This window comes from Homo sapiens, chromosome 4 (genome assembly GCF_000001405.40).
Source record: "Homo sapiens chromosome 4, GRCh38.p14 Primary Assembly".
NCBI classification, from domain to species: Eukaryota; Metazoa; Chordata; class Mammalia; order Primates; family Hominidae; genus Homo; species Homo sapiens.
The window spans coordinates 95718923-95732605 of NC_000004.12; the positions used below are offsets into that span (position 1 = coordinate 95718923).

The 13683-nt window shown below is 38.3% G+C and overlaps 1 annotated feature.

Moving 5' to 3' along the window:
- Nucleotides 10600–11195: an enhancer, noted in NCBI's record as "OCT4-NANOG-H3K27ac-H3K4me1 hESC enhancer chr4:96650673-96651268 (GRCh37/hg19 assembly coordinates)". NCBI's record gives its function as "activates a minimal SCP1, AML or CMV promoter by ChIP-STARR-seq in naive H9 embryonic stem cells {active_cell/tissue: H9 hESC(naive)}" and the evidence as "EXISTENCE:reporter gene assay evidence [ECO:0000049][PMID:30033119]".

Below are 13683 nucleotides of genomic sequence, written 5' to 3' on the forward strand. Positions count from 1 at the left end.
CAGGCAATGCAGAATTAATCTTCTTAGATGAGGGTAGAAAGCCTGCTACTACTGGGAATGGGAAGGCTGTTTCCACTGGGGCTGTGGAGACTTCTTCCACTGGCAAAAATACTCATCAAATTTTAGGGGCTCAATGTCCCCAGCTTCATCGCATCTTCCTACACGTCTCCATTCCAATATATAGGATTCCATTCTTTCCCAATCAATATTTTCATTTTAACAGTAGATACCTTTAGGGCTGGGAGTTCAACTTGCATTATAATTTAGCTAGTCACAAGATGAGACTGTACCTTTAATTTTCCATAATCTCAGCCCTGTGTTTACAAGAGATATGGGTCTCCTTAAAGGCACACATAGAAGCACACACATTTTTTGATCTATCAGATGGGAATGGCAATGCCTTCTCATAAAGTTGCTGCAAGGAATAAATGAGATGATCTGTGCATAGTAGTAATCACAAACTTGACATATGGTTGCTGTTCAATCATGTTACAAATCATTATCATTATTGTACATACAGCACATGACCATTACACATACAGCACTTTTGCTGCGAATTTGAATTCCTGAGCTCATCTTCTTCTTTCATCACTTCGTCCAGCAACATTAGGAGCAAGCAATCAATCAACATCATTATATTAATTAGCTTTCCGAAAATGTTTAAAAGTACCACATGCACAATCAGCCAGCAATTTGCTTCATAAGCCATTGACTAGGAGTACCCAAGAGATATTTTCCATATCTGTACTACCGGTTCCAACCATGGACTATAAGTGCTCTCTTTACTACTAGAAATAAGGTCATTAGCAGATTTAAATCTAATAAGATTATAGAGACAATTCCAGAACCCCAAAACCAATTCAGAAAACTCATCCTTAAAATTCTATTCCTCTAGAACCAATCCTGTTACCAACATCTGTATTAGCCAGGGTTTTCCAGAGAAACAAAACCAATAGAATAGATAGATAGACAGACAGATAGATCAAAAGAAATTTAATATAAGGTGATGACTCACATAATTATGGAAGCTGAGAAGTCCCATGATCTGCCTTCTGTAAGCTGGATACCCAGGGAAGACAGGGGTGTGTAGTTTAAAGGCCTCTGTACCAGAAAGCTGATTCTGTGGAATCCAGTCAGTGTCTGAAGGCCTGAGAATAAAGCATACAAAGCAAAAGTTTGATAGCTCAGCTCCAGCAGTTAGGCAGAGGGAGAATGAGTCTAACCTTCTGCTTTTTTGTTCTATTCGGGCCCTAAGTGGATTGGTTGATACCCACCCCCATTGGGGAGGGCCATCTGTTTTATTCAAATGCTATTCTCTTCTGGTTAACACCCTCACAGAAACACCCAGTTTGGTTTGATTAGATATGTAGGCATCTCGTGGCTCAAATTGACACACAAAATTAACCATCGCAGTGTTTCTTCAGCAATTTATTTGCATGGTTTTCCCTCTTGGGTTGACATTTGATTTGTATTCTACAATTTTCTGTTGAAAATTGTATCATGGATAATAATTTCATTAGATTGGTGAGCTATGTTTAACCATGTTCCCATAGGATTTAAAGTACTTTTAAGAATAATAATGTTTTATATCCATTGCTAATATAATCTATGGATTTTATCATGTTAAGACATCTGCTACAAAAAGAGGTGATTCCATAAGTGTGTCATTTGCTATTTCTAAGCATATGGGAAGCAAAATCTTGTGATTGACTGGTTAATAGTTCGGTTATAGGTTGAGTTGCGCCCCCTCAAAAAAAATATGCTGGAGTCCTAACACGTAGCACCTCTGAATGTGACCTCATGTGAAACAGGGTCCTTAGAGAGGTAACTAAATCAAGGTGAGATCATTAGGATGAGCCCTAATCCAGTATGACTGGTGTCCTTATATAAAAAAGAATTTGGACACAGACACACACAGGGAGAACGTCACATAAAGAAGAAGACAGAGATTGGGGTGATGCATCTGTAAGCCAAAGAACACCAAAGATTGCCAGCCAACCACCAGAAGCTGGGAGAGAGGCTTGGAACAGATTCTCTCTCACAGCCCTCAGAAGGATCCAACCCTGCCAATACCTTCATCTGGGACTTCCAGCTTCCAAAACTGTGAGACAATACATTCTGATTATTTAAGCCACCAAGTATGTTGTATTTTGTTACAGCAGCCCTAGGAAATTAGAAACTAATAAATATATCCAGGTAACGAATGGCACATACTGTTTGTTAATAGATGGGGTCTGCAATACTGAGAAACAGTTGCCAATAAGGGACTATGTCAAGATTTATGTACAAATAAATAAATATCCTAGTATCTATATTAGGAGGAATACCTGCATGAAAGCAAAGAGAGAAGGAGCCAGTTAAGCCTGGAGCAGCTGAATAAGTCTAGGAGAGTGATCAGATCACCGTGCAAGTTTAATACTGGATGAAGGGAAGGTAGAGATGACAATAGAGGGGACATATCCTAAACTGCCCTGCAGTCTAAGGAAGGTTCAGTTTGCCAAAGCCTCTGTGTTGTCTTTAAGCCAAAGTCAGCTGTCGGGGATAGCTCGGGTCCTCCAGGAACAGATTGGCCTTAGTATCCCTGCCATGCTCATTCACTGCTTGTGAGCAGCTGTAGCAGGCACATCCTCAGCTCAAATGAGGTGATGGATTTCCAAATGCAGTTTGGGACCCTTGGTTAAGTCCTCTCCCTGAAGTGGGGAGGTCTGCAAGGCACATTCTCACAGTCCCCAGAGATGCTCCTCAAGTGAGTGAAAAACTGATATGGAATTCAATCCTTGAAAAAAAATGAACCAAATGAAAATACTATCCAAGAATTGAAAAAAATTCACTCACCTAGAGTGTAGGTCACCTGGGCTGTGAAAATAAATCAGTTCTAACACATAAAGGGTGAACAAAATAAAACATTTTGTTACTCATGGGGCAGTTTAACGGTGGGAAAGTTGGAAGTGGGATTGAGGAAGTTGCTCTCCACTGCTCCACACAAACAATGAGAGATGCAGGTGATAATGCCTCCATCATCTTTAACAAGTGGCTTCCATGTTTGTTCTGGGGTAGGGGTTGTGGTCACCACCCTGGTTAGCTGAAAGGGGAAAGTATGGAGTGCTGTATGTGGGAGACTTTTATGGTCAAGGCCTTAAAATGGCACACATTTGTTCTACTCACTTTCCATTAGCTGAAATTCAGTCATTTGCCCCTACCCAACTGCAAAGCAGGCTGGATAATATGCTTAAGCTTTGCGCCCAAGAAAAGAGGGAAAGGATCCTGGTGTACAACTGATTACTTCTACCACACCTGGATATGGCCAGTTATTAGTATTTGTGACCTCAATTAAAAAGAACTCCAAAATAGTGACTGAAATTCTCAGTTTTATCCAGCTGTTGGACATTATGCAAGTACAGAAAATAGTCATTAGCTAATGCTTTTAGGATTAAAGGTATCTACAATATATGGCCACACATCACTATAAAGTTAAAAAGTAAATAAATTAAGCATATACTGAGGGGATTATTACAATTCCATGTTTCATAATTGAATAGTGTACCCCCAAGTTTTATAATTTAAAAAAATGCAATTAAGTATTCTAGAAATAGAATTACAGATGGCCCAAATGAAAATGTATGGAGGTGGATAAATCCGACATGTTGAATCAGTCCTATAAATAAGTTTCTCTTTGGTTTTGTTTTACAGGCTTCTGAGAGTGTATTTTCAGGCTCATCTTTTTTTAGATTATCTGTATTCTCAGTGTATATATATTCATAGCCTTGTAATAAGAAAGTTATAGAAGACTAAAAGGGTAAAATACAAATTATATTTCTAGTAGCAAAACAATACTAAATAATTAGGAATAAACGAGGGCTAAATACCAATAATACTAATTTTTTTAAAGAATAAAACAATACTAATCAAATTGAGACAAGCATCAAAGTTCACCAGGTGCCTTGCGAACTACTTTTCTCCAGTTCCTACCTATCCTTGACTAATGTATACGATGAGTATACTGCCAACATAACAACCCACCTTTTCACAGGTTGTACTGAAGCCCAGTCTGAAATAAGGCCTAATGATTATCAGTGTGGCCCACATCCTCAGTGCACCTAGATTGGAATGACAACTGTCGTACTAATTATCTGTATGACCTTGGAAATGTGCAATGTCTTTAAACTCTCTGAACCTCAATTTCTTGATCTATAAAATGGGAATGACAATGCCTTCTCATGAAGTTGCTGTAAGGAATAAATGAGATAATCTGTGCATAGTAGTTATGACAAACTTGACATACAGTTGCTGTTCAATCATGTTACAAATTATTACCATTATTGTTAATAATACAAAACATTTTTTTGGTAAAAGCTTCTACTCACCTAGTTAGAGAAAACGGTGTCCAGAAAACAGTTATTAGTTTCCACCGAAATGTTTGAAAATGTTAATTGTTCTCTTAATTTAAGAGATTGGGCCCTCTGTTTAGATTTGGAGGAAGAAGGCTGAGATTTTGCGGGGGCCTACTGGGTTTTTCTCCTATGCCCTGTGAAAGCCAATTGGTGCCTGCTCTCCAGCTTCATGCTTTGAAAACTTCCTGGAAACCAGATTGAGTCCATGCCCTTCACTTACTTATTTTACCGCTGGTTCCAACAGTCAGCCCTATTCCCTCCTGTTAGACCAAACTTGCATCTTAGCAAGGGCTGCCAATTGACTGGAGTTACCAAGGCCCAGTTTTTGAAACTGCTCATTGAATGAAGATCCTCCTTGGGTTGTCTGCTCTGTCTTCAAGGTGATCTATATTATTATCCCAATGCTTTCCACATAAATTGATTTCCTTTTACCATTTTATGAGAGACATAACAGTTCCAAATTAAGTTATTTATATCTAAGTGATATTACTTTATTATCATAATTATTATTTTTTTCTGGGGTAATTCCTTTCTGTATTTAGTTTCTTAAAAATATGAGAATAAATACATCCACAGGATAAATGATGATAAACCCATGTCTGTTTATCTGATATTGTAATGATTATGGTAAACAGTGAGACTACGTCCTAATTTTGATATATTTTTTGATGAAAAGTTTGAGTTGGAAAAACAAAATGACATTCAATTTTCAAGTCTCCCCCAAATATGATACACATATTGTAAAATGAAAATACATCTCCCCCTTATATGGTACATTTATTTTAACATTATTCCACCTTAAAACTGCTTACATTTTCATTTGAGGAAAAAGAAATGCTACCTCATGCAAATATTTTTCTTTCTGCATCATATGAGTATTAATTCTTTCATCTGACCTTTCTCTTTTTTTTTTTTCATTTCACTACCATGTGCCAGGATATTATATTAGGTATTGGTAATTCAGTAAAGAAGACAGAAACTGTCTGTGTTTTCAGAGAGTATACACTCTAGCAGTCCACGAAGCTAAAATAACTATCTTTAAGTGGAACATGTTTCATCTATGAGATCATTCATTCTTTTATCAAGTGATTATTGAGCATCTCTCTATGCCATCTGCCCTATTTCCTAAGTTAGTAGATTATAGTGGTCAATAAGGAAATGAATTAAATTTTTGAAACCGTTCTAGACAAACCCCAGTTGTTCACCTGCATGCAATGGAATACAGAATATACAGGACCTCAGCCATCCAGAAGTAGGGGATTGGAGCTATGGAAGCAGGACCGTCTCTTCAACAGATTTTTCTGCTAAATGGTCCTGTACTGCACTCAACTGCGCTCTCCTTTCTCCCTATCACCATTCTTCTACTTGTGATTTAAGATGAAAATGTCAACATGAGGCTTTGATCCCAACTCAGTGCCCCTGCAGCCATTTTGTTTTGTTTTGTTTTTTGTTGTCTCTAGCCATTTTGGTGTGGGGAGTGAACTCTCTGATGCGAATGCCTGATTCTTTTTCTCCCATAAATGTTGTTTAAATACCACACCAAAGGCCGGGTGTGGTGGCTCTCGCCTGTAATCCCAGCACTTTGGGAGGCCAAGTTAGGCAGATCTCCTGAGGTCAAGAGTTCAAGGCCAGCCTGGCCAACATGGTGAAAACACGTCTCTACAAAAATCCAAAAATTTTAGCCAGGCATGGTGGTGTGCACCTGTAATCCCAGCTACTCAGGAGGTCGAGGCAGGGGAATTGCTTGAACCCAGGAGGTGGAGGTTGCAGTGAGCTGAGATCTCGACATTGCACTAGAGCCTGGGTGACAGAGCAAGACTCTATCCCCCACAACCCCAAAAAAACAAACAAACAAACATAAAACCACACCAAAAATTTAAATGAGAAAGAGAGTCTCTCAATGTCTAGATAATAATCTTATCTCCTGGATTGTCACTTATGAACATGTGAGGTGACAAAACTATTTAATGGATAAGCATTTAGCAAATGAAAAGAAAATGTCTGTGATTATTATGTAATCCTAGATGACTCATTATACTTAAGTAAAGGGGAACATGAATCTCAAAGAATAATGAGAATTGTTGAGAGTGTCAACAAATTAAGAACTAGATGTTCTTAAAATGAACCTGGTCCTTATTGTTTTAAAAAGATCAGTGAGGAATCATGCAAATGGAGAATGCTATATTGCTAGTATTTAAAAATGATGTAAAGAACTCAATGACAGCTCTAACTACTTAAAAGCTTTCCATTACAACTTGAAGCATTTGTCCATATCATTTCAAAGCTATGAAAGTTTAGACTTTAGTTACCTGACAAATAACTTAGATTCTCAGCATATAACATCCATTTGACTATACATATTCTGTAAAATTCACATTGAAGAAAACAAGCAAAAGCAGAATTCTGATATTCACTCATTTTTGTTTTGGGTAGATTCTACCTTTGGAAAAATAAGATAATATTTTCAAGAAATGTTGAAATGATATCACATTAGTGATACTACATGTTAAATTTTGACACAGGAATACTGTATTATTTTTCTAACTCTGGGCTTACAAGTTTTTATACTAATGATAAGATTATTCTTATTATTGAATTCAATTCTTTGTTTCAATTTGACGGCAAATTGGTGCAGCAGATCCAATGAAACAAAATGATATAGGTTCTCCCCCACACTCTTTCTTTCTTTTTTCTTTTCAGAACTGGCGAACAGCTGTGTCCATATACTATAATTGTTCTCTAATTGTTCATCTTTGTTTCAAAAAAAAAATAGAAGATTAAATAAGCACAACCTTTTGGTGTATAGTTTTTAATTTATAAGAATTGGGACTCATTGTTAGGTCCAAGATGAAAGGGTACCACAGTTGGCACTTTAAGCTGACACAGATCTGGGGAGCCAGTGACATTGCATCTCTGTTAATGATTTCACCTCTTGCACTGTGTTCCCACCAAAGGAAACATATCTTTCAGCTTGAAGTATGTGAAGGAGGGAGGAAAGGAACAATTCAACCTAAGCCCTAAAGAAAAGCTCTGTAGGTTGTGCTGAGCACTGAGCAGAGAAATGGCCCCATTAGCTTCTGCATGGGCTGCTCACTAGACTAGTTTGAAGTGGAGTTTCACTGATGCCTTGCCTCTAGGCATCCTTTCCTTCACCTCAGGATGAACTGCTACTATGATTTTTAAAGACTTTTTAAAGAGAAATTACAAAAAGTGCCATTTGTTTCTTTTTGTAATTGTTCAAAGAGAATTGTTCAAGAGAAACAAATGGAAGACACTAAGGACTTAAATTAGCTGTGCTGAACAGACCTTAGTGATGTTCAGGAAAATAGACAAGAAAAGAGATTAAATATCTGCTTTATTTAAATTCAGCAGGAAGAAAGAGCCCTACATTTACAAAATGTTTCCCTGGAAACACTATTCTCAAGAAAAAAAACAAATTCTTCCTTGGGTCATTAATTTTTAAATGGTAAAATGAGTTAATAGAAAATTATAATAAATAAACACATATATACATGTTAACACATGTTATCTATATGTATATACACATGTTATTCATATACACATGCACACACTCTCATACATCTCTGAATTCATCACAATTTACTTCCTGTCTCATTATGGTGCCACACAAATTATACCGTAGGCAGCAGCACCATAGATCGTTATTAAGTCATCCAACACATTCCTTTGCTGAAGAGAAGTTGTTCTCTATAATGTATTTTTCAATCCTTTCCTCATTTCATGTTTAAATTACTCAGCCACAGGGGATTTGAAGATATCCCTTGGAAAAGTGTTCCACAGGCTGACATGATGGGGTTTACACAGGTGCTTTAAGATATTTAAACTACATTTTCTTTTACTCAATTTCATGTTACTGTTTCTAGTTAGGCCTTATTTCTACTATCTTAAAGTCATTTTTACCATGATCATTACTTTCGCGTCTATCAAGACAGGCCAAGAGCAATCTACATGATCATTAGTTTGCTTGTTATACCTACCAAGTTCTTTGCATTGTTTCATTTTAAAACATCCTCTTAGCCTCTTAGTCATGCTTTGTGATTTGGGTAAACTATTCACTGTTCTACAATTATTAGTCAAATATTTTATTCTCATAGCACTTTAAAAGCAAGACTTGTTTTAGAAATCTTTCAAGTCTTGACATTCAGAAATTCACATTTAAGTGATTGTGGGTTCAGAGGAGGTAGAAGTTAAGTCACAGACCCTTGTTCTTTCTGTATCAAGTGTATAAACTAGGTACATAGTGAGTTATTGAATTAAAACATTGTTCTCATATATTAAAGTTCTATTGCAAATATAGCATTTGCAGTCAGAATTTTAAAGATTAAACCTGTTCAGTCCTGAAAAACTGTCTCTTCTTTGATACTCCATTTAGATTGTCTCCCATATCAGGTATAATTTCCTTGCTCGCTGTGTTAGATATTACCTTAATAATTTCTGTTTATGTTCACTATTTCAGCATTTTTCCCCTACATCAATGCTCATTGGAAGGTTTTTAATATAGTCTTGAACAGTACAACCAAAAATGTGAACTAAGGATAAAACTGTGGGAAATACCAAGATTTAAAAAAGAACCTCCTGGGAAACAGAAAAAGGAGGAGCTAGTATAGCATCATATGGATTAGCTCCCTTTTTTTTTCTTTTCTCAATGCTGAAGTGCAGAACTATGTTGAGCTTAGATATTTAGTTGAACTAAACATTATATTTAACAAGACTTTGATATGGTACCATGCCAGACCTTGAACAAAAAAAAAAAAAAAAAACAAGTTTAATGGATAATACCTGCTTAATTATCTATTGCTACATAAAAAAATCACCCCAACACTTAGTGACTCAAAGCATCTACTATTTCACAACTGTGAAACTTCTGTGGTTTAGAAATCTTGGCATGGTGTAGCTGTTTTCTCCCACTCAGGGATTCTCACGGGGCCACAATAAGATGTTGGCCAAGTTCGTAGTTATCTTCAGGTTCAACCAGGGCAGGATATACTCCCAATCTCACTAAGTTTTTCTGGGTAGGATTTAGTTCCTTGTCAGCTACTGGACTGGAAGTCTGTCTCCCTAAGATCCTTGGCCAGAGACCACACTTTCAGTTCATTGCTATGGGAGCCTCTTCAAAAAGGCAGCTCACAGTATGGCAGCTGGTTTCATCGAAGTGAGTCAGACAAGGACAGAGAGGACCATAAAGATGTCACAGGTTTTGTTTGATTTTTGTTTTGTTTTGTTTGAGATGGAGTTTCACTCTGTTGCCAGGCTGGAGTGTAGTGGCACGATCTCGGCTCACTGCGACTTCTGCCTCCCGGGTTCAAGCGATTCTCCTACCTCTGCCTTCCAAATAGCTGGGACTACAGGCACGTGCCACCACGCCCGGCTAATTTTTTGTATTTTTAGTAGAGACGGGGTTTCACCATGTTAGCCAGGATGGTCTTGATCTCCTGACCTTGTGATCCGCCCGCCTCAACCTCCCATAGTGCTGGGACCACAGGTGTGAGCCACCGCCCCCAGCCGTCACAGGTTTCTATAACCTAATTGTAGAAATATCATTCCATCATTTTGCCATACCCTATTTGGTAGAAGCAAGTCCCTAGGTCCAGGCCAGATACAAAAGAGACAATTACACAAAGGCTTGAATACCAGCAAGCAGGGCTTTTTGGGTGCCATTTTAGATGGCTATCTACCATCTTTAGTTGTACCTAGGATTGAGGAAATGGTATCCAAAAAACTGGGATAAAACCTAAATTAACATTTATAGCAATTAATAAATTCAGCCAGTCATCTTCTCATTAGTATGTAGTACTTTCTGGATATTGAGTGTTGCTATTGCAGTGAATGCTGAAATTATTACTCCTGCCCCATGTTGAGGCCTGAAGCCCTCATTCCTCTAGATGCTAGGAGTGTTGGTAGATAACACCTCTCAACTGTGATTTTCCACTTGGAAATTGGCTTCAGCTCCATTGCCAAAGGTCACTCCCTTCCTGGGCAATAGCCTACCTCTAATGACTGATGAATGTTGAGTTTTAAAAGCCCAGCTCCTTTGCCCCAGGGTTGGACAGCTCTGAGTGCTCATCCTAGCTCCAGGGCTTTTGGCAAGGTAGCTGAGATCTTTGTTGTGACTGCATAGCAGTCTAAGGCTTCTTTTCACCCAACCCAGCTCATTTCAGTGGGCTACAAGTGTGATCCTGAGAGCACTCCTCAGTAAACGTCCTGCATTCAAATCTAGGGCTTATGGTCTATTCTTAGGAAACCCAACTAGCAATCGCTTCACTTTTGACTCTTTCTTTCTGTGTAAATGTAAAATAGCTAACATATAAATGATGAAATATTAACATAGAATATATAGACGTTTCATATACTTATGATACAGGATATTTCCCCGGACCCTTCACGGGACTCGCGACAGAGGTGCCTTGTTTACTCAGCCAGCTGCTCTCAATTCCTCACAGGAGGGAGCATGCAAATGAATGAGTACAGGAAATGGAGTGAGCGAATGCAGGAACCAGCCAACTGCTTTTGTAGGCTAGCAGGAGCAAACTTCATGCGGTACCCCCAGCAGCATCCCTGTGGGGTTATGTGCGACCCCCAAAACCCCAGGGGCAGGTTACCGTCTCTTTTACCTCTGACATTGCAGCTCAGTGGGCCCTTTGCCTTGACAGCCTTTTGTATCTACACTCGTGTCTCCTGAGCTCTTGTCTGGCATCCAGGGAAAATGAGGTTGCACAAGCGAATTGAAAGATGGTAAACGCAGGGTATTTTATTGCTGATGAAAGTGGCTCTCAGCGGGAAGGGGAGCTGAAATGGGGAGGGACAGATAGGTAATCTTCCCCTGGAGTCTGGCTCTCTCCTGGGGGACTCTTCTCTGAAGGTATGCCATCAAGCTGTCCCTCTGAAGTCAAGCCACTTCTCTCTGATATCTAGCCACAGTCCATTCTACCACCTGTGTCTGGGATTTTTACAGGCACAGGATAGGGAGGGGCGGGGTCATGAGTTTAGAAAAAGGCAACATTTGAGTGGGTAAACGGGGATGTAAGTTGTCACTTTGGGCCGCAGTTTCAGGCTTTTTGGCTTGAGGGTGGGGTTTTCACTGGGAACCTGCCCTTTTATGCCTAGAATTTCTCTGCGTCCTGTCCCCATCACTTATAGACCTCTTAAAAGGGATACTGAAATGCATCTTTAAGTATGTCAAGCCAAAACATCAGAAATTCACAATATGGTCCCCTGTATAATTTAAGTAAAATTGAAGGGCATGACCCTGATTTTCACTAGTGGTTGATTAACAAACAGCCATTCTCATTTACTACAAAGCTGTTACTGAAGATCTAGTTTATCACATTCTTTCTGTCACCTATAAATAAAACTTTGGTTGCAAAGTCTTCATCTAGTATCAGAGGTGAGTTCCTTTTATCTTCTGATTTGCTTCTCACTTCTAACTTAGACCATGGGGCAAAGTTTTAGCTTTCTATGGGAAATCATTAATACAAATAAAAACAAAATAGAACACATCAAAAACCTTAATACTAAATATGGAGATTGGAAGCAAAGTCAAGGTTATCACATTATATATAAATCATGATAATCCTCAAAATATGATTACTATACATCAAAACTTCCCTACTTTACTAAGGTGGCATTCACACAAATCTTAACAGTGCAATGTGGCAATTAATAGGCTGAGAGATGTAAGAGTGGAGGAAGTATCCTCAAGCAAAATTGAAATGAAATATAGAAGAGTGAGATGTAAAACTTGATATCTGTTAGGATTTACAATTTTGTTATGATTTTCTCATGGACTTCTTGATCCCCGATCCTTTCCTCACTCTTCAGCTGCTTTGGTCGGATCTCTGGTGGGAGGACTGGCCTCTGATGGTTATGTTTTTCCATCTCCTGGGTCATGCTTTTCCGTCTCCTGTGTCAGCTGACTTCCGGAGGAGCCGGGAAGAAGGGAGAAACAGGATATAACTTCCCTTCTCTCTCTGCATTGGGCAGTGACTTCAGAGCAGCTATCTCCTTTGTGGCTCCCTACCTTTGCCACTGTCTGACTCAGGTAGCACTGCTAACCTCCCATGTCCTTCCAGCCTAGCAGGGGTAGCTGCTTTGTGCTGTTATTAATCTTTAGTTTGCTTCATTGCCCTTTTTGGCTTCTTAGCTCTTTTCTGTTACCTGTGCAATGAAGTCCTACTTAATTCTCACCTGGTTAAAACGCATAGAATGGTTTATGGTTGTACCTGGGTGGCTACAGGTACCGTAAGTATACTTCCATTCATTGCAACAACAGCAAAAAAGTCCCTGACAAATAATGGTCTTTATACCATTAAATTAAAAAAAAAAATCCTCAAGATTATTCGCATTTTATAGATAGGAAAGATTAGCTCAGCAAGAATAGGTAACTTGCTTGTAATCACGTATCTCATGCATAGCTTACATTAGGAGGGTGACTGCTAAACCCAGACAACCCGGATTTGAATCCTGACTCCAGCTTTTATTATACAGGCAAGTTACTTAAACAACCTGTGCTCAATTTTCTCATTTATAGGTTAGGGACTTTATATCTACCTCAGAAGGGTATTGTGAAGATTAAATAAATTATTGATTTACTGCTTAGAAAAGTTACTGACACATAGTATATGCTCAATAAAAGCTAGCTATTATTAGCCATGTGGCTTCAGTAGTGTTATTAATTACTTTGAAATGAGAAAACACGCTACAAAAATTGCTTCTTGGATTTGTAGCCCAGTGTGTGTTTTGAGAAGAAACAGTTGCAAATGTATGACATAATATTGAACAATAACTTCTAATTTGGTTAAAAATCTGGTTTCTACTGCTGATTATCAGAACAGTTTAGAAAAGCAAGATTGATTTCTTTTGTGGAATAGTCAAGAGAACACCACAATGGCCTAAGGCACCAAATGATTGCAAACCATCTTCCTGCAATTAAAATGGCCAGAGCTGACCTGCTCTTTATTAAACATTAATCTTTGGCTTCTTCTGAATGCATCAGTGAGTTCAAGGTCTGGATATGTATGACTCATGCAAGCTCTGTGCCATTAAGCTGTTTTATAGGAGAAAAGTATTCTTCATTGCACTGAGCCTGACACTTGAGTTTCTTTGTATAATTTGAAATTTGGCAGCTCAGTGTATACTTAAATGAAAAATGCTTTTTTCTAACCATCATCTAGATGATAGAAACATTGGTTTCACCATTTAAATAATTGTACAGAAAACAATGTGGTCTGAAAATATCATGAATATATATATATTTTACTTATAATACCATTAG